This window comes from Homo sapiens, chromosome 8, assembly GCF_000001405.40.
Source record: "Homo sapiens chromosome 8, GRCh38.p14 Primary Assembly".
NCBI classification, from domain to species: Eukaryota; Metazoa; Chordata; class Mammalia; order Primates; family Hominidae; genus Homo; species Homo sapiens.
In genome coordinates, this window is record NC_000008.11 from 6,807,946 (window position 1) to 6,835,524 (window position 27,579).

General features: G+C 49.5%; 1 protein-coding gene across 2 annotated transcripts, besides 2 other annotated features; it reads right to left on the reverse strand.

The window, feature by feature from the left end:
- Nucleotides 1-571: 571 nt before the first annotated feature.
- On the reverse strand, nt 572-27,579 carry XKR5 (XK related 5). 2 transcript variants are annotated; one of them, NM_001289973.2, is made up of 8 exons: nt 27,491-27,579; nt 24,772-24,955; nt 21,224-21,361; nt 17,220-17,404; nt 15,576-15,785; nt 13,924-14,093; nt 7,862-7,973; nt 572-4,394 (listed from the first exon to the last, which is right to left on the reverse strand). In NM_001289973.2, exons 5-8 carry the CDS (start codon nt 15,721-15,723, stop codon nt 3,253-3,255), a joined length of 1,572 nt encoding a protein of 523 aa, NP_001276902.1. In that variant the 5' UTR covers nt 15,724-15,785; nt 17,220-17,404; nt 21,224-21,361; nt 24,772-24,955; nt 27,491-27,579; the 3' UTR covers nt 572-3,252. The 2 variants fall into 2 exon arrangements, with proteins under 2 accessions (NP_001276902.1, NP_997294.3); NM_207411.5 differs by lacking the exon at nt 21,224-21,361.
- Nucleotides 3,707-4,206: an enhancer, noted in NCBI's record as "H3K4me1 hESC enhancer chr8:6669173-6669672 (GRCh37/hg19 assembly coordinates)". NCBI's record gives its function as "activates a minimal SCP1, AML or CMV promoter by ChIP-STARR-seq in primed H9 embryonic stem cells {active_cell/tissue: H9 hESC(primed)}" and the evidence as "EXISTENCE:reporter gene assay evidence [ECO:0000049][PMID:30033119]".
- Nucleotides 25,961-26,829: an enhancer, noted in NCBI's record as "H3K27ac-H3K4me1 hESC enhancer chr8:6691428-6692296 (GRCh37/hg19 assembly coordinates)". NCBI's record gives its function as "activates a minimal SCP1, AML or CMV promoter by ChIP-STARR-seq in naive H9 embryonic stem cells {active_cell/tissue: H9 hESC(naive)}" and the evidence as "EXISTENCE:reporter gene assay evidence [ECO:0000049][PMID:30033119]".

Here is a 27,579-nt window from a genome sequence, read left to right on the forward strand (position 1 = left end):
AGCCTGGCCAAAATGATGAAACGCCATCTCTACCAAAAAACAAACAAACAAACAAAAACAAAAAACAAAAAAAAAATGGAAAATGTCCTGGAACAGACTTGAAGTCTCCAGCTGCTGTGGCTCCTTGCTGCCCATGCGCAGCCACTGAAGCTCCAGGTCAGGACCTGGAAAGTCACTTTCAGCTGCATCTTCTAGTCCTCGAGGTTCCTTCTTAGTCATTTCACGAAGGGGCTCTTCTGGCTTTATGCACTTGTCTGCAGGGACAGCCTTGTCCACCTTTGGGTAACTCTGTCTTAAAGAACCTGTCTGGAGCCCTAAGGAGTTTCTTCATGGCTCATAAGAAACTGCAGGAAGAAAATAGAATCTCTCGCTACAGAACAGTGTCAGGTCCCTGAAGATGACAATCATGTCCTTGTTAAGCTGACCTTCTGTGGGTTCCTGCAGCCGTCTCAGAGGGGACTCCATAAAGCTCTCACCTGCTTCTCCCACTGACGCCGTGAGCACCTGTCACATTTCTTCTGTGTAGCTCTGTGATCCTAATGACTAGCATTTGATAGGTGCTCAGCAGGCATTTTTGAATTAAGTGTCCATTTATTAGTCTTCTCTAATAAATATAGTGTATATTTTCTGATCCTTTTCATCACCGGGCAATATGCTTTCTGGAGGCATGAAGTGAGGAAGCCATCTGAGAAGCCGATGTTGGTCCACAGGGCCTCGAACAGCAAGTACATGCCTTGATTTCTGCATACTCAGTGCCTGTCATACTCAACTAATATTCCTTAAATGAATGAATGAATGAAGAGTATTTCTAGCTTTCCAGGCTATTCAAGGGCTAGAAAGTTTGAAAAGAATGAGCAAATTCCCCATATCCCACCCTTACTTTTACCCCATAACACAAATGCCGTTGATCCAGGATATGCACTCAAGCTGAAATTCATGCCCACAGCCCCGCTCGTTAGTGAATTCATGCTGTTGAATGCTCTAACGCCTACTTTTGCTGGACACTCTGCTGGACCTTGGAGTTAGCCCAGAAGGAGGACTGCAACCCTTAATTAGCCTTCAGGGAGGCAGGGCTTCAAGTTTAGGAAGAGGTCACCAGAGGGCAAAGGGCAGTGGAATACAACCTGGGGACAGAGGGTAGGTCTGGGAGAGCTGGAGCTGGGGAGGGCCCAGGAAGGCACCAAGAGGAGATGTTTGAGTGGAGTCTTGGAGGACAAATGGGGAGGGCTGGTGAGGACTCAGGGAAGTGCTCATGCTCTCACCTGGCTGGGCGAGAGACTGCATGGAGGAAGGACTGAGATGCTGGGATAGCACAGTGAATGGAACTATGAATGATTTTGTTCTATTAACAAGCTTTTTTTTTAGATAGAGTCTTGCTCTGTCGCCCAGGCTGGAGTGCCATGGTACGATCTCAGCTCACTGCAACCTCTGCCTCCCAGTTCAACTGATTCTCGTGCCTCAGCCTCTCGAGCAGCTGGGACTACAGGTGTGTGCCACCACACCAGGATAATTTATGTATTTTTAGTAGTGATGGGGTCTCACTACATTGCCCAGGCTGGTCTCGAACTTCTGGCCTCAAGTGATCTTCCCGCCTCAGCCTCTCAAAGTGCTGGGATTACCGGTGTGAGCCCCTGCATCCGACCCAAAGTCTCGTTATCTTCACCTGTTGTATGGAAAGTTTGTAGCCACTTGTCTGCATCCCCGATTGGCTTATGTGGCTGGCCAGGAGGATGCTGATGGTCTGAGAGCTTATTGCAGAAAGTGTCTGCAGGTGCCCTTAGTATGTGTCAGGCTGAGCTAAGTTATTCTACTATTCCTTTTTAGAGCTCTAATATTGTACCCTAATCCAAAAGTGTTTGGAGAGAATAAAAACTACCCATTCTGGCTGGGCACGGTGGCTCACGCCTGTAATCCCAGCACTTTGGGAGGCCGAGATGGGCAGATCGCTTGAGCTCAGGAGTTGGAGACCAGCCTGAGCCACCTGGCAAGAACCTGTCTCTACAAAAAATACAAAAAAGTAGCCAGGCATGGTGCCCACCTGCCAGTAGTCCCAGCTACTCGAGAGGCTGAGGTGAGAGGATTGCTTAAGCCCTGGAGGTTGAGGCTGCAGTGAGCCATGATCATGCCACTGCACTCCAGCCTGGGTGACAGAGAGGCCCTGTCTCAACAAATAAACAAATGAAATGAAACAAAACAAAACAAAAATACCCATCCCTAAATAGCATCCAGCTCTCTGTGTGCCTTTCTCTTTGATAGTTTATGACTAGACTTCCTTAATCAGCTACAAAGGAAGGCTTAAAGAAATTATGGAAATACCTAGCCACAAAGAACACTTTAGAGTGGAGGAGTCAGAGAGAAGGAGAGTGCGAGAGGAATGGACGTTTCCTCCCTTCTTTTTGGATGGGCTTAAATCATGGATAGTGTCTCACATTGAATGGAAGTGGGAACAAAGCTTGGACATAAAGGAGATGGGGTGGAAAGCAGCAGTGGGAGCTGGAAGGGAACTCTTGGCTGGCCAGCCTGCACAAAGGGGAGCAGCACATTTCACAGAAAAATACATTTATGCAGCTGGCCAGGAGGATGCTGATGGTCTGAGAGTGAATTGCAGAAAATGTGTGCATGTGCCCTTAGCATGGGTGAGGCTGAGCTAAGTGAGTCTACCCTTCCTTTTTAAAAGCTCTAATATTGTCCCCTAACCAAAAGATATGGGAATCTTAGAATGACATTTGCACTTTCAGTTATGTTAGTTATTACAAGCACACAGGCCTTACCTACTCCCAGAAAGCATGCAAATTATCTTACCAAGAGATTTCATAACATAATACAGTTAGAATATATTAAAATGAGATTCATAACCGCTAAATGTGAGGCAAAGCTAATTGTAACAAGAACCTCAAATAAAATAGGAATCTGGGTTTTACCTTTGTGTTTCCTAGAAGCCACAGCAAAAAGATAAAATAAGGGAACCTACAGCTCATAAAAGGTAGCAGACAATTTTGACTGGAATCTCTTTCTCCTCCTCTAAAGTATGTTAGAGTCTCTCCTATGCATGGGTGGGGTCTGTGATGTTTGCATTGGACCTGCAAAATCATCCAGCCCTGTTTCTTCATTTTTCAGGGATGCAGATGGAGATTCAGAGGTGACAGTGATGTGCCCAAGGACACAGGTGTCAGAAGTGGGATTTCCTTTCTCACGGTACCAAATGGCCAGCTTGGTTTGTCAGCCTGTTGTCTTATCCCACCATGACTGTGGTCAGATGAAAAAACTCGGCTCTTGCTTCATCTGTTCCCTGCAGCTGCAGTCCGTTTGGATAGACTCAGACTTAGGGGTGGACGTGAGGCAGGGCTCATGGGCAGTCCTCAGCTGTGGCAATGACACCCACACACCAACAGCTGCATGGTGACTTAGCTCCCTTTTGGGCTCCAGCGGCTCCTCTAGCTCTGAGATACTGAGGGTTCTTCCAGGGAAGCCTGCACTGGGGCAGAAGCCTCTACATGGGCCTGTGCCTAGGATGGGGCTAATGTCGGCCATGGTGTCGGGGAAGGGCGCCAAGCCCACTGGGTGGGGCGATGCAGGCTGGGCAGGGCTGCTCTTTCCCAGCCTCCTTCCAGAGTGGGCCGTTTGCAGAGTAGCTGGGCTGCCTTCTTGTTGTGAGGATGTGGCCACTTCTGCAGTGGCGCTGAAGTACAACGTGGAACTCTGCTGTCCTTCCCCTCCTCTCTGCTGCCCACCTGTCCCCTTCCCCTGTGTCCCAGAAACAGCGTCAGCTCCTTCCTTTGGGGTGCCCTCCCCCTGCGTGGCTGCTGGGTTCTGGGTAGGTGCTTCATCCTGCTGATCGCTGGCAAAAGATACGTAACTTGAGGTTTCCAATGGGTCGGCCTCTGCTTTAGGGACACCTTCAAACGCAGAGCTGTTCTCTAAGGTTGAGGGGTCACGGGATGAGGATGGGAGCTCTTGCTGGGCAGACAAGGCCTTTCTCTGCAGGTAGTCCTGTTGACTCAACCCCCATGCAGGTGGACAATAGGCAGGACTGTTATCTCCAAAGGCGGCATTGATCTTAGACACATTTCCTGTTTTTAGGGCAAGTTTCACCCACAGCCAGTGGTGATGACTGAGGAAAGAGTCCTCCACAGCAACCTGGGTCCCCAGCCCAGCCTCTGGGGGGACCTGCTCAGGGGTAGGGGGCTTCCCTAAAATGGTTGGTTCATAACTTGCCCCTTGGCATGAGCCTGAGCTCTCGGTTCTCTTCCCAGCTAGATCTGTGGCCCGGGGAGAATCTCTTCTCTCTGTTTTATCACCTCCTGCAATGCCACAGGACTTCCTTAGGCAGCCCTGCCAGATGTCTGTGGATTTTGGATGCAGCAGGCTGTAATAAATTACCAGTGAGACACTGCCTGAAAAAGAACAAAAAGACCACAAGGTTATGTTCTTTGAAGTCTGCATCCTCCCTCTGGTGTGCAGTTTCAGGTTCTGGCCCTTTTGTGTAGAGGAAGATAATTTGGGATCCAAAATAGGACTCTTGTTGGAGCCTCAGAACTGGATATTTCGGGGGAATTTAAGTAGGTTCCAGCTTCTGTAAGCTGTAAATGTTTCTAAAGTTAAACATGAATAACAAGGCTTAAATCCGATTGATTCTATGCTTTTGTCTTGAGGGCAGCTCCAGTTCAGTCATCTACGTGTGTGTGTGTGAGTGTGCATTCATGCATGTGTGTGTGCGTGTGTACACACAGGTACAAAATGTTTGGCAGAAATAAGCATTCTACTTTCAAGTAACTGGACCATACACTGCAAATTCGACTGTCAATACAGTGGTTGATGGGTTACAAAGCTGGGGGAAGGGAGGGCATTAAGAAATAACCTCAAAAACAAGTAAGACCTAAACAGAGGTTAATCAGATTCATCAAAAACCCCATATCAAGGAATTTCCATGAACAACAACAACACTTCCTTTGTGCATAAACATCTTAATCACATTGTTGTCAGTTTAATTTATTTTGATCAGAAGTGTTGACTGCTGCAATAATTTCTTTAACAGAGCATTCCAGTAAGCCTCCCACGTTATTTCCAGTTTCCTGTTGTACTGGATAAAGTGCCTGGTTTCAGGGTGCTCATTATAAACAGCACAAAACCTGAAGTAATGCCTGAGAAGGCCAGGAGATTGCAGCATGACAGAGCTAGAAAGACTGCCTGAAGGACATCCCCAGCCCCAAATCCTCTCTTGTGTCTTGGGGGACTGGGAGACCCAGATCAAGCAGCTGGTTAGTGGCCAGGCTCCAACCTTGGAAAGGGAGGTGGACTTTCTCCATGTTCAGTGCCACCTCTGCAGTAGGTCCTGCTCAGCCAGTTTCTGCACTGTTTTGAATTCTCACAATTGCCTGGTGAGGGACATATTGTCACCCTTCTTTTACAAGCAGCCACCCAAGGCCAGGAAAGATGAACAAAGGCCCCTGATCACAGAAGTCCTGGGCACACTTATTCAGTGAACACAATCTTTCCAGAGGCCATGTGGTTTGAGGGTTCTTGGTGGCATCCCCAGGCTGGCACGCAGTTGGTACTCAGTGAATATTGGTCCCAGGATGGAAGGAAAAGGGGAGGAGCCTGGATGCAAGCTTGTGCTCCTTGGACTACAATTTGGGTTCAATCTTCCTGCCTAGGATTCCCAAGGGTCGGCTGGGAGTCAGGGGTTTGGCAGCTCCATCAGAGGCCGGAGGAGGAGCGGCAGACAAGGCTCTGAGCCGGTGGCCACCTGGGTGCTGAGTGCTGCCCGTGGCTATGGGCTCCCTACTCACTGCCCGTGGCTATGGACTCCCTACTCACTGCCCTCCAGCTGTGCCGTGGGCCAGCATACTGGCTGTGAAAATGTCTTCTCACTGGAGTGGAACTGGAAGGAAACCAGGCATCCACTCTCAGGAGTGTGACAGGTTTTCGGAGTGGTGTAGGACATCTTTTCTGAGTCAGTGTTAAAATCCAGAAAGTAGATGAGGGGACATTTTCCCTCCCACCACACTGCCCCCAGGACTCAGCTATACCTCCCGTGAACTGGAAAATCCAGATGAGTTGTTAGACCTCCCGGCCGGCAAGGCCCCTTCATTCCAAGTATCACATGGCCCCTCCCTGAAGGAAGGATTGCTTGAAATATGCCAGGAACACCCAGACCACGATGCAATGTGGTGAGAGTGGTGCTTCTCACCCGGGCAGCGCGATGTCCTCAGTTTCCCATAGGCCATTTATCCACACACACAGCTTAGAAATCAATGCTCTGCGATTCAAATGATTATTTTAAAAAGGATGAACCAGATGCCCGTCCATGGGTCGACGATGAAACAAGCTGTGGTCCGTCCAAACCATGGGATGCGACTCAGCCATCAAAAGCAAGGAGCAACCCGGGAGGCTCTCCGGAGAGCTCTGCCAAGTGAACAAGACCGATCCCCAGGGTGCACACACTGTGTGGTACTTTCACAACGCATTCTCCAAGTGATAGAATAATAGAAACAGAGAACAGAATAATGGTTGCCAGGAGGGAAGGAGGTGGCAGGGGCGAGAGGAAGGGGGCCACATGAAGGGTCCTCGTGGTGATGGAAGGGTTCTCCCTGCACCTCGACGTACTACTTTGAGATCCTGGCTGTGATGTTGTGCCACCGTTTTGCGAGATATTACCACTGGGGGAAAACCTGGTAATGGGTACGGGGAGCTCTGTATTATTTCTTAAAACTACAATTATCTAAAAAGTTTGATTTGAAAAAGAAGGGGTTGTCTCAGCTACCTGAAGCTGGAAGAAGTGAGGACCCGTGACGTCTCATGAAGAAGAACAGAGCTGAAACCCAGGGTGGCCTGTGGCTCTCAAATGCTTGTTACGAAGCCACAGTGTGTGACATTTCTCTGACCCGTGAACAGCCCCTGCATCTCACTAAGTGTTTGTGTCCAGGTCATTCCTTTCCCAGGTCCAGGCCACTCACACAGGCCACATCCAACCCCCGGCTGCTGTGAGCAAGAAAAGAACCCGAGGCCACTTCCAGGCACCTCTTCAGGGTGTGGGTGACAGAGAGCAGGCTCTGGAGGGAGGGCAGGAGTTGTTGCAGAGGACTGGGGAATCTCTGTCCTGGCCCATGTTGCAGAAGCACGAGGCCCCACGTGAGAGGTGCAGGTGCTGGCTTTGACGGTCCCACCGCAGGCCTGAGAGTGACAGTGGTGGAAGCCTGCTGTGCTGGGAGAGGAGGCTGGTGTTCGCACCTTTCAAGTGGGGGGCGGAATCCCTGCGGAACTCATGCCAATCTGGGAAGCGAGGTCATCACCGTGGGTGTGACACAGACCTTGGGGCCATGCATTCATAAAACACGGCTGATGACAGTGCCAGGCCTGTGCTCAGGCCTGCACTGGAGCTGGGCTTGAATCTCAGCTCTATCTGTTACAAACCATTGGATCTTTCGGGGACTCAACCTCCTCTGTGCCTCACCTTCCTCTCCTCCTCTGCTAGGGCACCCACTTCCCGGGGTGCTTGTCTATGGGCTGCAGGGGGTGCCATGTCAGGAAGATGTGAGGAGCTCCCCTAGGTGGGAGGGGAGAGAGAAGTCACGTCCTCAACCCTGCAGGAAGCTCCGGGGAGGACGGGGGCTTTGGGGTAGAGAGGGATAGCCCCAGCTTTGCTTGAGGTTCCGAGCACAGTCAAGCAAGGCAGATGAGGCTGAGCTCAGTATCTCATGCTCTGATGGGCATGGCTCTGCCCCCCACATCGCAGTGAGCCTGGTTCCTTGGTCTCCAGTTAACCACATCTGAACTCAGTTTCCTACCCTTTGAGCCCATTGTAAAAAAAAAAAATACGTTGGGGAGGGGATGCAGAGAAGAAGGTGACATTGGGACTTACCAATCAGAAATCCAGACAGGACCCCAGCTATGGTCTGCAGGCTGGTCCACGATGCCCCCTGGAGAAAGTCGGTGGCCAACAGCAACAGGATGATGTTCTCCAACAGCATGACCTGCGGGACCCAGGACAGAGGCACCACACCTCGTCAGGTGCACACTGCCTAGGGACCCCCGTCCCGTGAGTCTGCAGCGGCTCCCCCTCCCCTCCATCCTGAGTGCCCACTGGAGACTCCAGGCTGCTGAGGAGTACCCAGGAGCAGGGCTATGTCCCACTGAGACCTTCTCTGGCAAAGAGAGAGCCACCCTGTTCTCAGGGTGGCTCATTAAAGTGTCTGCAGAATCATAAAGGCCCAGGAAATGTAAGGGCATCCCTCAAATGGCTGTGGGGCTGCCTTTAGAGAGTCATTATGGGCTGAGAGGGGACTTTTATTTTCTACTTTGCATATTTCTCCATCCTCACACTAACTGCAGGCACTCATTAGTGTTAAAATGAAAGATAGCTGCAGAGCTCATGATGCCACTGAATTCCAGGGAGCTAGGGTCACAAACTTTCTAACAACTTTAGGATTTTGTTTCCTTAAAATAATTGCTTTGCGGCCACCAGGTGGCAGCCGGAGACGGGAGCTCGCAGGCTGACAAAGGAGCCTGGCCCCGTGGCTGCAGCTGGTCAAAATGGCAGATGGTCCAGAAGGCTCTTTGTACGCCCATCTGGGTCAGCTTATTAACTTTGCTTTCCAATTTTTAAATATAAAAAGATACGTCTTCATTAAAATAAGTAAACAAATGACATAATTCAAAGACGATATATTTAAATACTGTGTGTTTTATATTTAATATATATTTTAATTTATTTTTATTTAATTAAATAATTATTTAATTTAATTAAAAATAATTTAATTTTATTTAATTAAAATATAATTAATATATATTTTAATATATTTAATATATATTTATATTAAATACTGTGTATTTTATTTATTTAAAAATAACACTTAAATTATATACTGATTTGCTAAAACTCTTCAAAAGATTTGCCAGGTTATTCATTGGCTTCGTTTTTCACTCTCAAAAATTCAAATAAGGAGAGAAATAAAAAAAATTATGAGGAGCTGCTTCGTAATCCTATGAACATCCATTCTCCCAGTCCCTCTGTGTGCAATGGGCAGGGTTTCTGCCCTAAATGCCTTGGCCAGCAGCCAGTACAGAAGGCATCTTTCTCTCCCCACTCCTCAGCTGTGTGGTTCTGGTGGTTCAGATTCTTAAGTTTGTCCCAACTCCGTCACCTGCCTCCTGTCTTTCCCGCCATTTCCGTGGTTCTGGCCCCATGCCTCCTGTCTAGGCAACCCCTATCTTCATTCTCTCTCTGAAATCTCTCCTCCACACCAATGTCAGGGTGACCCACTTCACCCAGAGATTGCATCTTGCCATTCCTCCCCGATGCACCTTGAAACAGCCCCACCTTAACTTCAGGATCCAGTCCCTACTTCTCAACAGAGCAGATGGTCCTGTTTGCCACTTAGCGCAAGTTTTCCTTTCTGGGGTCATCTTCCAGCATGCTCTTCCCAAACGACATTCCACTGACAAACAGTCTTTCCTCAACCAAACTCCAGTCAGCCTTCTCTGAGCCTTCTTTTCCATGAGTCTTCAACCCTGGCCAACGAGAACTCCAGACTCAGCACATATGATTCCCCTTACCTCCCCACACCGAGAGACTTGAACAAACACTGACCGAGTTTCCAGCAGCTCAAGGCCTCACCCCTACGATGCTGACCTCAGTCTCCTTTAAGTTCCTGCCTGAGAAAGCGCAGTGCTGCCAGGAGAAGGTACTGTTTGTTCCAGCCAAAACTTGGTGCTGGGTGGATAGGACCCTGGACTTCCTTTCCGAGCAGTTCCTTTAGAAAGCTTGCAGTTGCAAATCATTTCGCTGCGCTCTGAGATATACATCCTCTATTACCCAGAACTGTCTCCTCAAGTACCCAAGAGCCATCTATTCAAATACAAACTCCAAGCCTGGTGGGTGCATTGCCCTAACAGGACTGACTCCTGCCTCCTGTCATAAAGAAATGAGAAATTTGTTTCTGCTCCCAGCAAGTGACAAGCGCCAATGAACAAACACAGATGGCACACTCACATTTACGATCCCACTTTCCTGCTTTTTGTAAATTTCCACTTCCCTGTCTCTGGCCAAGCCCCCGGATGTTCCTCCTCCTTCCTCCCTTTTTCTCCCTTTTAAGCCCTGTCACCTCTGCACAACTTGAAGGTGGGTTCAGTTCATGCAGGGCTCTTCCCTATGGCGATACACTCAGTGCAATCTGTTTTCATTGCTTTTAACTAGCGCAGGGCTTTTTTTCCCTCGGACGCTGTGCGCACTCACTTTCCTGTGGATTTCCAGACACTCCAGGGTCTTTCCATTACTTCCGCAGCTTTGCCTGAAACGTTCTAGCGCCGTCCACACCTTTTCTTCAGGTGAACCTTGCTCACCACATAGCACATCGTGCAGGTCCCCTCTGTAAACCCTTCCCTGACTTTCCCAAGCTCTGCCTCTTGTGTCCTGTAGGGTTTTGATAGCGTCACTTCTCTGATCACAGTGGCTGCATGGATTTGCTTATGTCTTTGTGGCACTGAGACATGACCCTCTCACACTGTGGTGTCTAACTCCATTTTCAGCACAGGAGGAAGCTCAATGTGTGCTGATGTGAATAAACCCATAACGGGTGAAAGAAGTGAGACGGGGTCTTATATTACATTCAGAAGTGATCAACAGGCAGGCTTCCGCCTCTGAGCAGGAGGTGAGGACAGTTGAGTAGATCCTGAGCTAGGCCAGTCATAGTGTCACCTGTGGCTGTCTCCAGACGTGGATTCCCAGGTTGCAGTCACACCTACTGAGACAGAATCTCTGAGGGGGAGCCTGGGAATCGCCACTTTATAAAAGCTCCCCTGAGTGCCACTGACAACCAGCAGGGCTGAGGCCCAGCTGCACTGGAGGCCCCCAGCCCCCAGCCCCTGCCAGACCGTTCCAGCAGAAACCTCTGAACCACTGCCAGGCGGTGGCCTGTTGGTTAAAGGCCCTACGAAAAAGTATAAAAATTAACCAGGTATGGTGGTATGCACCCGTGATCCCAGTGACTCGGGAGGCTGAGGTGGGAGGATCACTTGAGCCTAGAAAGTCGAGGCTGCAGTGAGCTGTGATCACACTGCTGCATTCCAGCCTGGGCAACAGGGCAAGCTCTGTCTCAGAAAAACAAAAGCAAATACAAAACACCTTATGTTCCTTCTTGAAGGGATGTGGGGGTGGTACACTCTCCAGTGGCCCAGGAATAGGCTCAACATAGCTGAGCGATGCTTGGGTTGGCCCTGGGCTACGCTGCCCAAGTCTGGGGCTTCCAGACAGGAATTGCAGCTTCTTCTGGGGCCCATCCAGGGCCTGGGGTCTGGCAGCCTCTTTCCTGTGTGAGCTGCTGTCTCGAGGGCTGGGGCTGCGTGGGTCCCGGCACCCTCCGCAGAAGGTAATGCTTTCGGATGGCAGCACGGGTCTGTGCCAGCAGGGTGCACATCTCAGGGAGTGGCGCCCCAGTCTGTCCACTGCACTGTGGCCTCAGGCTTCCAAGATCACAGTCTGGGCATTTCTAACCTGCCCAGAGGCACTGGTTTCAGGTGCTGGCCACTCAGCCACATTGGATCAATGGAGTTTAGCTGGGGGTGTTGAGGAACAGTGGGAGAGGCTGCCTCACACTCTGAATGGCCCGTGCCACGGAGCCAGGGCTGCCCAGCACTGCCTGGCACAGGGAGGGGCCCAGACTCAGGTCTGGGCAGTGTGCATGGTGAAGTGCGAGGTGAGCATGTCCACCTGTCATCTCCGCCTTTTCTTCAGTTTCATGGTTGCAGCCCCACCTCAGAATGTGACTGGCAGGCACTCTTGAAATGTCAGGAGTTTAATAGGTTATCCTCGGAGTTATGTGTTATTTCACCTCTTTATGGTGATATTGGCTATCTTTACCCTCCACTTCCTTCCTCTTCCCTACCTTCCTTCCTCTTCCCTACCTTCCTTTCCTTCCTTCCTTCCCTCCCTCCTTCCTTCCTTCCTTCCTCCTTTCCTTCTTTCTCTGCTCTCTTGCCCCCGATGTCTGTTTCATTTATTGTAAATTATTTATTTATCTTTCAGAGCATCTACATCTATCTACCTGTGCCAGGCACCAGGCTCTTGGCTTTCTATCCATCACCTTATCAATCCTAGCAACAACCATTTCAGAGATGCAAAAACTGGGTGTGGGGGCAGGGGGAGCCCCGGTGACTCTCATACAGTTCAGAACCGAAGGATCCTGGTATCAAGCCTTAGCTGGTCGGGCAGCAAGGCCTAAAGCCCATGTTCCCCATCACATGCTGTAGGGATCCAAGCCCCCGGGCTAGGACTGCCCGGCCTGGATGGGTCTGTGCACAGCGAGAGAGATAAGGACACTCGTGCCACTGTGGTAGATCTCACTCCAAATGTAATGGTGTCTGATTTCTGCTTTTCCTATTTAATCGCTCTTGACTCAGTGATCTAGTGACTGTATGAGATGGTTGGGAAGAATGAAGGATTTGCTTTCTTTCCTTCTCTAACAGCCCTCAAACTCCTGGGAGATGACACGGCAACTGACATGTGAGTGTGACAAATGCAAGCAAACAAGGTGGCAGGTGTCAAACTCCTCCTTATTGAGCTCCTGCTTATCTGGGCATTGGCAGGCGGGGTGTCCACCTATGAATAAGCCACTTCAGCAAATTGGATGAGAAAATCAATATTCCACTTCTTTGTTCACTTGGGGATCATGTTGGTTGGGAGGCTGCTCATGCATGACCTGGGCCCTGCCACAAGTGAACCTATCTACAACACGCACGCTGTTATGCTCGGTGTTCAGATGTGGACGCTGAGGTTGGTGAGGCTCAGTAATGTGTCCAACATTGCAAGTCCTGTGAGCTCTGCCTGGCTCTATAGCCTGTGGGGTCACTGTGCTATATGGGTCCTAAAATCAGCAGGTGTCTAGGACGCTTCCCTTTCCTGGACAGGAGCTGCATCCTGCCTTTACCTTCACCCAGGTCTCTACCCTGGAATGCCTGACTCCTCCCACAGAAGTCTCTCCTTTTCATATGAATAATGGCCACAATTTATGGGTTATTTTGTGCCAGCTACTTATGTATATTATTTTATTTGGTCTTTACAGGAACCCTGAAGAGTATGTAGATCTTATTTAATCTTCACAGGAACACTGAGAGGGGGGTGACTTATTCCTAGCGTGTGCATGAAAAAGTAGGTTCAGACAGTTTAAATTCTTGGCTGAAGCCAGCTGGTGGTAGCAGTCAGCAGAGCTGGGCTCCAGTGCAAGTTTTTTCTGACTCTAAAACCCATGCCCCACCAATGTGATTGTATTTTCTCTCCTTTGCCCATTATAATCCAGCTCAACCTCCACTGTCCTGCCAAAAGTGTCTGTGGTCATCCTGACGAGAGGTGATGCTGGCAGCTACTCCTATGAGTCCCAGACATTTTTTTCTCTCCTGGCATCTAGCTACGTTCTGTCTGATTTTGGTTATTTGGGTGTCTACTTACTTACCAAATATTATAAGTTCTTCAAATATGAAGAAATCTCTACGGGACTCAAAGCAATCTGAAGAAGTATTAGGCCACTTTTGTGTTTCTGATACTCTCTAGGGCCATGCCTGGATCTTATTCATAAACCCCTAATAAAAATGGAGTTGATTAACAGAGACATTGAGTATATGATATTATACAGTTGAACTGTAATGATATTCAGCAGGTGGGCTGATGTAGAGAAGACATCACCAAATATGCCTCAGTTGTTGCCACATTGAATGCAGGGCCACAGCTGGAGGTTGGGTTACTATTTTCAAAGCCTGTCATCTCTGTTCAAGACTATCATTTCTTTAAGAATTTTTCTTAAACTAAGCTATTCCTTTTCAATAGATAGGTGTGCATTGGTGCACACACACACACACCCCCCACACACACCCACACACACCCCACTTGCTGTATACACTGTAAAAGTTAGGATAAAGAAAAGTGCCACTTGCCATGTAGAACGTGACCATCCTATTTCTAGAAGGGCTGTCCCAGAAGCTGAGGTAGCAGAGGATGTACACGGCCCCCACGAGCAGGTTGAACAGCCTCCAGTGGCAGGTGCTGTCGATGATGTCACTCTGCTGGGCGACAAGCCAGAATGTCATCACCAGCCAGTGGGCACCTGCAGAGAAGCCGGGTGCAGACGTCAGGGTCCATGCAAGGAGATGGGGGGACAGGCAAGGACACAGAGACCAGGGGCTGGAAGGCTCTCCGACCACATTTGACTCAGCATCCAAGAAGAGATATCAAAACCCAGAAGAGATTTGAGGGGGACAGAAAACCAACACAGTTTATCTTTGCATGTATTATCCCATTTTATCCTTATAAAGGGTATCTGACCTAATTTGAATATGACACAAGAAAGAGTAGCTTCAATAACACTTGCCAAATATTGTATACCTATGACCTTTTTATTCCAGAAAGTGTTTAAAGGGGCAGTTATAAAACTGACTGCCAATTATTTTAAAATTGTTACAAGAGCAAAAAACCTCCACATGCAAAGGAAAGAACTCTATGTGGTGCAGCTTTAATTTTTATGCCCATATTTTAAGACGAATAAATCATTTTGGATTTCAAGCTGATTTTTTTTAAAAAAAGAATAACAAAATAGCTAATCTCTCTTTAGAAGCACAGTTCTTTTTTTCAAAAAAATTATCTTTTTGGCCAATAACTGTATTCAATGTTTGCTCTAGGCCCAAGGGGCAAATATTTCTTAATGTCTCCAATTCTCTTAAAACAAGAGTAAACTGTTCCTTCTTGCAGAGTATATTCACTGATGACCAGAGATGACAGCTCTCCTCGGCAGGGACACACAGGCCCTATTCAGGGAATCTCCAGAGCCAGATAGACTCTCTGTCATTGCCATTCATATTGCGTGTGCCTAGACTGAGGGAGGAGGGAGGGCTTGGATTTAGTGGAGCTGTCCTATTTGCAACAGAGGAGATGTCCAAGATTCAGCATTCAAAGGAAATGGTGCACTTTTGGAAGCTATGTGCAGTATGACATATAGACTGTATATTTTTATATCAGGTGAGGCAAGTGGGACCTTGTACCTCCCTCCTGTTTCAGTGACAGTTTTTCTACATAAAAGATTTTGGCCTGTAACACAGAACAGTCTCCTGAGAAGTTCTCTGCTCCAGATTTAGCTGGGAGTGTTGAGGGCTGGGATGTCTAAGCTATGGCAGAGTATCTCCCAAGACAGCCAGCACGCGTTCCTTCCTGCCCTGGATGTGTACTCATCGGGAGCTGCAGTCTAGTCCTCCATGCTCTTGAATCTGGGCTGGTTGTGCTTGCTTTGACTGGCAGAATACAGCAGAAGCAATGCTGAGCCAGTTCTGAGCCTGTTTTTATAGAAGACTAGCAGTTTCCAGTTCCTTGCCATTGCAATTCTCAGCTGCTAATTCCTGTCAAGGCTCTTTATGAATCTGAACATCTGCTACCCCATTGCCATCTCTGAGGCCACCCAAGCAAGATCCATTCAGCAGAGAGCCCAGTCAGCCTTCAGGCCTGGGATTGAGGATCATATGTGGTTATTCTTGAGACCTTCATTTCTGGGTTGATTGGTTATGCAGCAACAGATGACCAGATCATTAGCTCAGCTCACCTGCAACCACAAAAACCCAAAAGTGGTAGGCTTTGTAGAACAGAACCAGACTCAGCACGCGGGTTCCCAACATGCCCATCCTCCAGAGCTGCTGGCAGAAGAGGGCGGCCCATGGCATGGCCAGGTGGCCTGGCTTCATGAAGCCCATGAAGCGAGTGTAGGACACCAGTGCCCAGGAGAGTGAGGACCAGGAAAACAGGGTGCTCACCCCTGAAAGGGAAGCAGAAAGATGTGGTATGCTCTGAAGATTCCGAAGTAACAGTACCTTGTGAAGATTCACTCATGGCATTTCTTTAATGGGATGTGTAACCTCTTGTTAAAGCCTGGCTGCACAGAGAGTATTACTAACCCACCACTTTGACCAGTAGGTAACATAACAACTCTATGTCCAAATACACCTGTCTATATTCAGGAAGAAATGGGGATATGCAGGAAATATTTCCACTGCTCAATGTACTAAATGCTCTTCCCAGCAAATGGGCTGGACTCTTCCTTTCTACGCCCTTTAAGAAAAACGTCCCAGCTCCTGATCCTCTAAGTCCTCTGTATATAACAAAGCTGATTCTACAAGGCTCTGAACATGGTTCCACCCCAAATGTACTTTGCTGTTTTATCCATATGAAGGAGGTTTAATAAAAGAACGAAAACATCAAATGGTGTCAGGCTCTTTGATAAAGATGGATGGAAGGACAGTGCAGGCATATATGTGAAGCATTTAATTTGTGCATATGCAATTGTGGACACTCAGCAAAGAGGAAGGGAGAGATGAAGATGGAAGGGGAGAGGTGGGGAGGGAGAGAAGGGGGTGAAGGGGAGGGGAGAAAAGGGGATAGCAGGAGGGAGAGGGAGAGGGAAACAAGAAGCAACTGAGAGAAACAGGGAGAGACATAATGAGAATGTGAATGGCCTGAAATGAGTGGGAGCTGGAGACAAATGTTGCTGGGGCCTGAGTTGTTCTCAGTTTCCACATGGCTTTGAAGGTATAAGCCTCTGGCTTTGTTAAGAATTATTATTATTATTATTATTTTGAGACAGGGTCTCACTCTGTCACCTGGACTGGAATGCAGTGATGCAATCATGACTCACTGCAGCCTCAAACTCCTGGCCTCAAGTGATGCTACCACCTCAGCCTCTTGAATAGCTGGCACTGCAACTGCATGCCACCATGCCTGGCTAATTTTTGTATTTTTTGGTAGAGATGGGTTTTTGCCTGGCTGGTCTTGAGCTCCTGGGCTCAAGCAATCCACCCACCTCAGCTTCCCAAAGTGCTGGGACTACAGGTGTGAGACTTGTGCCCGGCCAAGAATTATTCTAATGATTAAAGACACAAGAAAAACATGTGCAGTGAGTTTATGGAGAGGCAGTCTTTCCAAGGCATTTTGAGGATAATTTTGATTATGGGCAATTTCTATCTTATGGGCTGACTTTAGAACATGACCCTTAAGAAAGAAGGGAGCCAACTCTCTGTAAACTCAATGCACCAGCAAAAGCCAGTTTTAAGCATCATCTGTGCCAGTGAGCTCAAGGTGCCCTAATGCTCCTAAGCAGAGGAAATCTCGAAGGGAGGGTTTTGCTAAACAGGCTCACATTCCTGTCCCCCTTCGGCAGTCAGACAGTCTGTGCTCTGTGGTGACAGTTACTCACCTGGCACAATATCTGTGAAGTCTGAGGCTAGAAAAACATATGTCTGAAGCAGCAGGTGGGGCCCAGTCTGCAGCAGGGCCTCCAAGAGTCGAAGGGCCGACAGGTCGGCCTCCTGCAGCTGCAGCCAGCCTCGGTGGGGAGCCTCCAGTTCCTTCTGCAGACTGGTCAGTGCAGCGTCCCAGTGCCTAGGGAACAGCAGAGGGCACGTGACACGGAGCCAGGCTGTGGCGAGATTCAATAGGACGAGCTTTCATTTAGAGACATACTACATGCTAAGCAATATCCTATGCCCTTACTAGTCACCTAGAGTTACTAGTTAGGCTGTTGCCAGCCTCTGACTGCAAGCAGAAGACGTCACTTCTATGTAAGTTCCCCGAGTCCTGTGGTGCTCAGCCAGGCCACACTCTCCCCACGTCTGGTACCCCAGTACCTGACCTGGGGGCTCTTTGAGCTGGAGCGGCTGCATGGCAAGGGAACCCAGACTGCCAGCTCTGTGAAGCTCGGCAATCACCCCGACCTGAGTCCCACCCCGGATCCTCTTGGGATGGGAATTCATTTATCGACAGATGTCTGTTGCAAGGTACTGTGTGTTATCATCTCTTTGAAGGACAAAAAGTAGAAAAAACCCTTGTCTTCATCCTCACAGAATGTAGAACTCTGTGCTGCGAAAACTGGGGCACATGAAGAGCAGACAGGGAAGAAGGATCTGGAGGCTTTGCTGGGGAGTGGCCAGAGGTCCAGGTGGCTGGAGCACCATGCGGAGCTTGGAGGCTGATGTGGTCCCGGTGAAGTAGATCAGGGCCCTGAACTTCAGGCTATGGGGTTTGGATTTTGCTCTGGAAAAATGAATTTGGCAGAGGTAATATGTACTGTCTGGGGTATGAGATGAATGTGTATGGATTTGTGTGTCTATGTATGTGTATGTGCATGTGCGTGTATATGGGTGAACACACATGTGGTGTACATGTGCTTGTGTGTGTGTGTATGTATCTGCATGTGCATGTATGCATGTGTGTGTGCAAGTGTGCAAAACATATGCATATGTATATAGGCATTATGTGCTTGCATATATATAGTGTGTATGTTTATATATGTGTGTGCATGAAGGTATATGTGTGTATATTCATGTATGTGTGCAGTGTGTATCTGTAGTGTGTGCAGTGTGAGTGTGTGTGTGTGCACGCATGTAGTGTGGGTGTATGAACAGGGGATAGGAACATCAGGAGGAAACAGAGCTAATAGAATACTTCCAGCAGTAATTGGTGAAGGGAGTCCTAGGAATGGAAAGTAGGGAGCAGGTGCAGGAAATAGTGGAGTTGGAGATCAGGATTTGATGACTGAACAGGGGAGATGAGGGAAGTTGCAGTGGCTTTGAGGTTTCAGGCCTAAATGACTTGGAAATGGTGGTGCTACCGACGGAAATAAGCCAGGTGAGGAGTGCTGGATTGGCCACGATATGAATTTCTTCAGCAGTGAGGAATGTGAGGATGGGTGGAGCCCCCATAAGGAGAGATCTGGATGACCAGTTGTGGTTGAGGGACTGGAAGTGGCCAGAAGAGACTGTGTGAAGACAGCATAGACCAAGGACAGCACCCTGGGGACTGTTCCCACTAAGGGGCCTGGATACGAAAGGGACACCAGCAAGGGTGGGTGGAAGCCGAGAACCAGGCAGCGGAGAGAGCTGCTGATCTCTGCACTGTGGATTACAGGATGGGGTGGCCCAGGGCCACGGGGACACATCTGCTCACCCAGCCTGGGTGGTCCTCCGAGGCTCTCGGAAAAGGAATCAAGCAACAAGAAAGAAGTCAGAACATGTCCTTGCTTCAGTCTGTTTCCCATGAGCCTATGCCAGGCACCTTTACTGGAAACTTCATCTCATAAGTAGAAAGTGGCACAGACCACCTTCCTTACAACCTGAAGATCCACATAGAACCCATGACCACGAAGCCACTCCCCACCACACCAGCGGGCTCTCAGGCTTCGAGTCTCACCTGGAGGTCAGATTTCGCCACCACCCACCAATTCCTCTCTGGGTCTACCTAGCAGCAGCAATAAGGAGATGACCACAGCCGCCTGCACACGAGCCTGCTGCCCAGCAAACCCACTGGATTCTGCTTCCCTGTCTTGTTCAATTTAAGAACTAGAGGTCACTTCAATTTAGCAACTCCTGAAGCCAAGCTGGATGCATCTCGAAGGTCACCTGCAAAACTCCCTGTAGAGACCCCTAAGGCTCTGACTGGCAGGTGACAAGCTGGACCCTGATGGGTGGCAAACATTTCTATGTCCAGAGCAGAAGATTCGGGGACTCCTCTTTGAAATGGCTTTATTCATGGTGCTGAGATCCCAGGACAGATGTCTAAGAAAAACAACTTTCCTTTTTCATGATTTGGAATCCTGGAGTGAACCCATTTCTTACTGTGTCTTGATTCCTGACATAAACTTAATGTTAAGAAAAACATATGACACTAAAAAATGTAACCATGAGGGCAGGCAGTAGTTTTCTTTTCACTCTCAAATCATTTGTTCCTGACATGGGGTAGTTTCCTCTTCTTGCTCTTCCAGAAAGCTTTGTTTGTTCAACATGCATTTTTCTTGGGCTTTGAGAGGCCCACCTGCTACAGACCACAGGCGAAGTAAGAGAAATGAATCCCAGCTTTTTGGGAGGCCAAGGCAGGAGGATTGCTTGAGCTTGGGAGTTTGAGACCAGCCCTGGCAACATAATGAGACTCCATGTCTACAAAACAAAACAAAACAAAGAGCTGGGATAGTGGTGGGTGCCTGTAGTCCCAGCTACTCAGGAGGCTGAGATGGGAGGATCACTTGAGCCCAGAAGTTCAAGGCTGCAAGTGAGCCATAATTATGCCACTGCACTCCAGCCTGGGTGACAGAGGCAGAAGACTCTCGTGAAAAAAAAGAAAAGGGGGGAAGTGAAATGAAAGATGTCTTTTAGAAACCTAAGATTCAGTGTGGAAAGAAAACATACAAATGCGAAAAGCTTCAAGAGGAAGAAATATAAGTATCAACATGAGTGGCTTGGGTAGTGGTGGAATCAGAGTCACAGGCAGAGAGAATAAGGTGGTCAGGGAATGCTTCCTGGAAGAGGAGGACAGGCAAACTCTGGACAGGTAGATGGTAGGAAGAGCCTAAAGGAGTGTCTGGGGTCAGTGGCACAGGGTACAAGGCACTGAAATGAAGGTCCATGTCTGGGAATAGCGAATATCTGGTGCTTGGTAAGGCGGGGGCCAGGAGAGGCTGAGTTGTGGGGCTACTCTTGTAAGAAACAGAGGACCAGTGGGAAGGTGACTAGCCCGGTTTTCTGAAACGAGCTGTCTCGAACCCATTGCAGAGGGAGAAATTCAGGCTGAGACCCCTGGACAGCCACTAGGGAAGCCGGGGAGGAAGCTGAGGCGGGATGGAGAGCGTGGGGATTTGGTCACTAGGTCCTATGAGATGGTGTCCGACATCTGTCCTCACAGTCGCTGCATCATTCCAGGTCCTTATCAGCACTTGCCTGGATTTCTGGCTGCCTGCATGGACCCCGTCCCTCCCAACTCTGTTGCATTTTATTGTCCCTGGTGCCATCTGTCTACAGGCTCATTTGCCCATATTATTCCTTTGCTCAAACCCTTCCAACAGGTCTCCAATGCCTGAGGATAAAATCCAAACTCCTTAATCCAGTAGAAAAGTTTCTTCATGGTCCAGCCCATTTATCTCCTGCCACATTCCTGCCATCTAGGAAATTCTTACCCTTTAGTCTCAAGAACCTCATCCTAATTTCCCATATACACCACTTCTGGCACGCATCTATGTCTTTGCACCAGCGGCTGCAGCTTGCTGTGTCGGAAACGCCTGTTCCCTCCCTACATTGATGGAAATCGCAACAGCCTTCAAGCCTCACTCGAGGGATCCTGAGGCAGGACTGGGCCCTCCAGGGCTAGGGCTATATTTTATATACTTTTAAATATTAAATCTCCACCCATTTATGCTGAACCTGTCTTACATACCTTTAGAGTTTACCTTAACTTTCCTTTTGACAACCTTGAACTTTCACTAAAGAAAAATTGCTAAACCAAGGTGCATGCTAAGGATGAGATAGGCCTTCTTCTGTCATCTCATGCTGCATTTACAAGTGGATTTGTGGGCTTAAAAAGAAAGATGAAAAAGATGTTGGTAACATACAGTATTAAAGTGTAAGTAAAAAACCTAAGTAGAAGAAAGTAATGGTCTTTGTTTAAATAAGTGGTCACCAATGTCAGGTTCTCTTGAACAGAGTCAGACTTAAAATGAACATAGTATGTATTATTGGGAACGTTAAAAAGAATACACTTATGGCTTAAATCCTTGCCTTTTTATATTTATTTATTTATTTGAGATTGAGTCTCATTCTGTTGCCTAGGTTGGAGTGCAGTGGCGTGATCTCAGCTCACTGTAACCTCTACTTCCCAGGTTCAAGCGATTCTCATGCTTCAGTCTCCTGAGTAGGTGGCATTACAGGTGTGCGTGACCACGCCTGGCTAATTTGTCTATTTTTAGTGGAGATGGGGTTTCGACAGTGTTGGCCAGGCTGGTTTAGAACTCCTGGCCTCAAGAGATCAGCCTGCCTCCACCTCCTAAAGCACTGAGATTACAGGTGTGAGCCGTCACGCCAGGCCAAATTCTTGCTTTTTTTTTTTTTTTTTTTTTTTTTTTTTGAGACGGAGTCTCGCTCTGTCACCCAAGCTGGAGTCCAGTGATGCAATCTCGGCTCACTGCAAGTTCCGCCTAACGGGTTCATGCCATTCTCCTGCCTCAGCCTCCCAAGTAGCTGGGACTACAGGCGCCCGCCACCACGCCCGGCTAATTTTTTGTATTTTTAGTAGAGACGGGGTTTCACCGTGTTAGCCAGGATGGTCTGGATCTCCTGACCTCGTGATCCGCCTGCCTCGGCCTCTCAAAGTGCTGGGATTACAGGCGTGAGCCACCGCGCCAGGCCTCAATCCTTGCATTTTTATAAGCAACTTTGTGTTTTACTGGATTCTCAGTTAGCAGATTCTTTTGTATTTTGTGATGAGGACACTCAAAGTGACCTATTCTTAGGCAATTCAAAATTGTGCCAAACGCAATTGTTTTGGCTCCCCCTACAGGTCCTTTTCTAGAATTGCAATTTGGAAAGCTGGATTGCCTCACTAAAAATACTGCTTCACTCAGTGTTGTCTTTGAACCCTATGTGCTAGTTTCAGGATGAGGAATGGATCCACTGCTGTCTATTTTAACTTTCAAAGCTTTCCTCTATGGAAGTAAATTTCTGTTTTTTGGTTCATGTTTAACCTGAGAAACACTGCAAATCTTGCGGCCTTTATGCTTGCACTGGCTGTTATAAACCTTAGGGCCAAATTGTGACCCGCTTCCGATAGCTGTGCATTCTGGCTCTATCTTGTTTTCTAACATTTCATCTCGATACCTGGCCTTTCTCATTTCTTTTCTTTTCTTTTTTGTTCTTTTAAGGATGTGTATTTTTAAAGTCATCTTAACTTCTTTTTCAAAACAAGAATAAATATATATGACTAATGGTTTTTCCTAATTTATAATTTTCATGTATCTCTTCACTTATCTATATGATTTCACTAGTATATACCAGATTATTCAAGTTCGTTTTTTTATATACACCAGAAAATCATGGCATCACTTAAGAAAATTAAGAGTGCATGGGAAAGACAGTGTGGGGTCCACTGTGAAATACCAGCAGCATGAATTTGGACACACCGTGGTCCCCTGGCAGCCCTCATCTCTGAGGAAGGCAGTGGATTCCATGAGGCCTGAGGGTCCACACAGCCTCAGAAGGCAGATTTGTCTAACCGTTCATTACCCAGGAAGCTTCTCTAAGTGACCACCTGGGCTTACCTCTCTCTTTGGGCTGCCAAACATGGGCTCATGGTAGCTGACTCACTCAACAGGCCTCTGTCCTCGAGGGCTCATGCCTTACGACTGTGATGGTCAAAGCCAAGTAAGACCCAGAGCCCTTAAGGATTGATTACTGGGCTGGGCCGATCAGGGAAGGAGACGACAATGGCAGCTAGGGCACAGGAGAGGCTCTGACCCTATGAGGCCCTCCGAAAGATCCTTCTCTGCCTTCTCCGCCATGGAAGGAAGGGCCCTGTCTTTTCAGGGGAACGGCACTGCTTGAACACCAAGGCCGAGCTTTTGGCAAAATGCCTGTGGCTGCAAATATGCTTTCGGTGCTGTTAGAGGTTTAGGGTCCAACTCTGAGGGTCCAGTGAAACTGAGAGTGGGTGCTTGAAGTCTTTCTCAGAAGCACCCTCTACCTCCTAGCTGAGATTCTACTCTGGGCGGGACGGCACCATTCCCTGCTCACAGTGATGCTCTATGTGGGGCTCATCACTCATTTCAGTGCCTCCGGAGAAAGTCTTGGGAATAGCTTGCAGGCATAAACCCCTAGGACACACAGCAGCATTGGCCACGACCCCTTGAACACCTTTCCAACCCTCAGTGCCTATGATTTAATGAACACTTGAGCTGCAGGGCTTCACCGCTCTGATCCCTGAATTTTTCTCCCTTAAAAAAAATCCTGTGGCCAGGTGCAGTGGCTCACGCCTGTAATCCCAGCACTTTGGGAGGCCAAGGTGGGCGGATCACGAGGTCAGGAGACCGAGACGATGCTGGCTAACCCAGTGAAACCCTGTTTCGACTAAAAATACAAAAAATTAGCCGGGCATGGTGGCACGTGCCTGTAGTCCCGCCTACTCAACAGGCTGAAGCAGGAGAATCGCTTGAACCCAGGAGGCGGAGGTTGCAGTGAGCCAAGATCACACCACTGCACTCCAGCCTGGGTGACAGAGTGAGACTCCATCTCAAAAAAAAAAAAAAAAAAAAACAAACCTAACAACCCAATGGAATTATGAGGCAGCAGCTGCCAGCTGAAATGTGCCCTTGATATAAACTCACTGACACATCTCTTCTCATAGCTCCTTGAATCCAGGTTCTCAAAGTAGAAAAAAATCAGCCCTCACCTGTCGTGATGGTCTATGGATCACGGATAAGCCCACCAGGCCCCAGAACTATCCCTGGCTACTTCTTTAGAGAAAAAACTAGCCCTGGCATCCAAATGACTTTTTCCTGAGACGAAGTCTTGAAGCAAATGTCAACAGGCTGGCTTCATTGTCTAGTCTGTGGTTCACTAAACTATGCCACCTTCCTGTTCTAAGGTGACAGGTGTGCAGATGGAACTGCCTTAAGTAAGTTGCTTTATATGGAACTAACGGCTCAACCAACAAATCAAAACAGCAAGACAGGGCTTCATCTGAAGACAAGAAAAAGCCTTTCGTAAGGTCACAGCTTCACAGAGAAAGAGCCCCTGAGGTTGGAGATGCTCAAAAAAGTGCAGGCTGGACCCGGGCATGCCAATATCAGAGCAGGGGTTTGCTGTGGCCGCTTTGAACCTCTTCCCAATGCTGAACTTTTATGAGCTTGAGGACAGAATCCACATGGAGAGAAGATTCCTCTCACTGCACTTGTGCAATTGTGCTCCAGAGGTGAAAGAGGCAGCTGTTCTTACCGCTTCCAAACACCAAGCTGTAGGAGGTGCAGCATCATCAAGGAGCAATGCCCTGGATGCCCGTCTGCTCGGAACCACAGGTAGCTCAGGGCCTGGACCAAGAACCCGGGCAGGAGGACAGCAAGGGCCAGCCACCCCCACAGAAGCCGTCCTGTGGTGAAGTAGTAAGCCACGGTGTAAAGGCCTGGGTGAGAAGGGGAAAGGCAAGCAGGTTGTTGGAAGGCTGGAGTGAGACTGGGTACCTGCATTTTAAACAACTGAACATTTTCTGGATGTTATGATGTTCTGACCTCTTAAAATCTTTCTGGCTGGGGAGTGACTGTCCCTCCCAAGGCTAGCAATTATTTCAGCTAGCAAAGGGCCCAGCCAGGAGCTTGCCTTTGACATGCGAACTAAATCTAGCCAGAGCCAGACCTCCCCTACCTGGCCCATACCCCCGCAGAAGGCAATCTTCTTTTGCCTTAATCATCCCAGGGCCCAGTGCCAGGAAACTAGGGACCACCCTTATACCCCAAAGCCACAGAAATTATTCAAAGGGCTAATCTGAAGCTGGTGCTCTGCCCTAGCAAAGCGTCTGGCCTCAACTTCCCCTGGTTCCTGTCTCCTGCCTCCTGACCACCCTGGTGACATTCCCCTGTGGCCCGGCATGGTGTGCCATGTCTCCTGTCCTAGGACCTGTGAGTACAGCAAACTTTGCTTTCCAGAGTCTCTCCTGTGTCTCATCTTGTGGCCACACCTAATTATCTCATTAAAAACAAAACCAAAGCACTTTGGGAGGCCGAGGTGGGCAGATTGCTCGACGTCAGGAGTTCAAGACCAGTCTGGGCCTCTCTACTAAAAATACAAAAATGAGCAAGTTTGCTGGCTGCGTGCCTGTAATACCAGCTACTCGGGATGGATGAGGCACCAGAATGGCTTCAACTCAGGAGGCGGAGTTTGCAGTGAGTCGAGATTGGGCCACTGCATTCCAGCCTGGGCCACAGAGCAAGACTCTTGTCTCAAAACAAAACAAAACAGTAACCAACCAACACAGTGTCCCCATCACCAGCAAGAGTCTCCTAGGAGCAGGCTGGGAGCCAGCAGAGCCTCTGGCAACAGGGACAGGCATTCACTAAATGACATTGTCAGGGCTTTCCAGAGCTGTTGGGCAATATACGACATGTGTGAAGCGCCTAGCATCTTGTGCATCCTCGAGAACGATGAAACCTCCTCTCTGGTTTGTTTGCTTGTTTGTTTTTGATGGTGGTTACGCAGTGGAGAGAGAATGTGCACTCCGCAGTCAGTAACTCCGCACTACGAAACCGTTAGTCCCTGTGGGGTCACAGCTCTCTCTGTGGGGTCCCTTTTCTCCTACTTTCACATGGGGAACTCCCTGGCCTGGAACTCTGGGCCTCCCCAATACTCCTAGCACGGCCTCCTCAGGGTTGTCTGAGGCTGATCTTGGAGGCGGTGCGCTGGTAGAGGCACCGCACACAGGCATCGTTTCACACAACTGTTACTTAGGTTTTCCAATAGTAAAGTTCTAAGTGGATGAATGAACACAAGCCGCGGATTTTAGGGAAACTGGGAAAACTGCCCTGAGGTACAGCTGCAGACGCTGCAGCTCTAGACCGCGGGGTCCGGGCTCAGGCAGCCCTTAGCGCCCAGGCTGGGTCCGGCTGTCACCACCCCGAGCGTCCTGCGGCAGCCTCCCTTGCACGAAAAGCCTTCGGTGCTGCAGGGCTGGGGAATGCTGACACCCAGTCCGTGCCCAGCTGGAGGGCAAGGGAGGACACCTGGGGTGGGTGCCGACCCCCGCAGGTCCTGTCTCAGCCCTTCCAGTCCGGGGCGCGGAGCCAGGGCGCTTGCGCGTCCTCCGTGTGCGTCCTGCTCGGCGCGCCTCGGAAGCAGCGGGACCTGCGGGGACGCCCGCGAACTCAGGGAAAAGTCCCAAGGCGGCGTTCCCAGGGTACCCCCTCTTCCACCCCAGGGACTCTGCCCGGGAAAAAGCTTCCGCAGGGAGCCCGGCGGAAGTGGGCGGAGACGCTCCTCCCGGCACTGAAGGAGTTACGCGTTCAAACCAGAAGGGCGCGAAAAATGGGGCCATCTTGCTCCGCCGCGGCTGGCGGGCTCTGGGTTCCCCCTGCGACGGAGGTGGCCTCGAAGGGCCGCGTCCCGCCCCGTCCTAAACCCCGAAGCGGAGTCGCCGTCCTACAGGGCCGCGTGGATGCGGAGCCCTGTCCCCCTCCCCCCGCCACCCCTTCTGCGAGCGGCCTCCAAGTCGCAGGGTCCCCCTGGACGGCCGGGGGTCGGGGGAGAGCCCGGGCGCCCCCAGACTTGCGCTCAGCACATCTTGGCATCGCAGCACTTTGCAAAGCTTGTGATGGAAGGAAGGGCGGATACATCTCCCCTGCTTCTGCGAGGGGATCTTGCATGCGTGGGGCGGGGGGATCGTGCATGGGCGGGAGGAAGTCAAGCACCAGTCGGGAGGGGGGGGAACCGAGCATGGGTGGAGGAAAATCATGCATCCTTGGGGGGATGGTGCATGCGTGGGCATCTACTAAGGACGGGAGGACGTGCTCTGCAGGTGGGATGGCCACCACCGTGCGTCACCGGCGCGCAGTGCTGGGCGCAGGCTGGGGCAGTGCCCGCCCGGGCATAGGCAGCCTGTGCGGCTCCCGGCGCCGGGGTGGGGTTAGGGGCTGCAGGGGTGAGCACAGCCTCGGGCTGCCGCACTCACGCGCGCTCTGCTCGGCCGCCTGCAGCAGGGCCGAGAGCCCCAGGAGCCTCGCGTGCATCTTCCGTGCCGACCCCGCAGCCTGCGCCCGC

Coding starts and splice junctions, on each gene's coding strand:
- XKR5 (NM_207411.5), bottom strand. CDS start 27,548: ATGCACGCGAGGCTCCTGGGGCTCTCGGCCCTGCTGCAGGCGGCCGAG. Junction 15,786..17,219: donor CTTCACAGATATTGTGCCAG/GTGAGTAACTGT, acceptor CTTCCCTTTCAG/GGGTGAGCACCCTGTTTTCC. Junction 7,974..13,923: donor GGATGGTCACGTTCTACATG/GCAAGTGGCACT, acceptor TGGGTCCCGCAG/GTCATGCTGTTGGAGAACAT.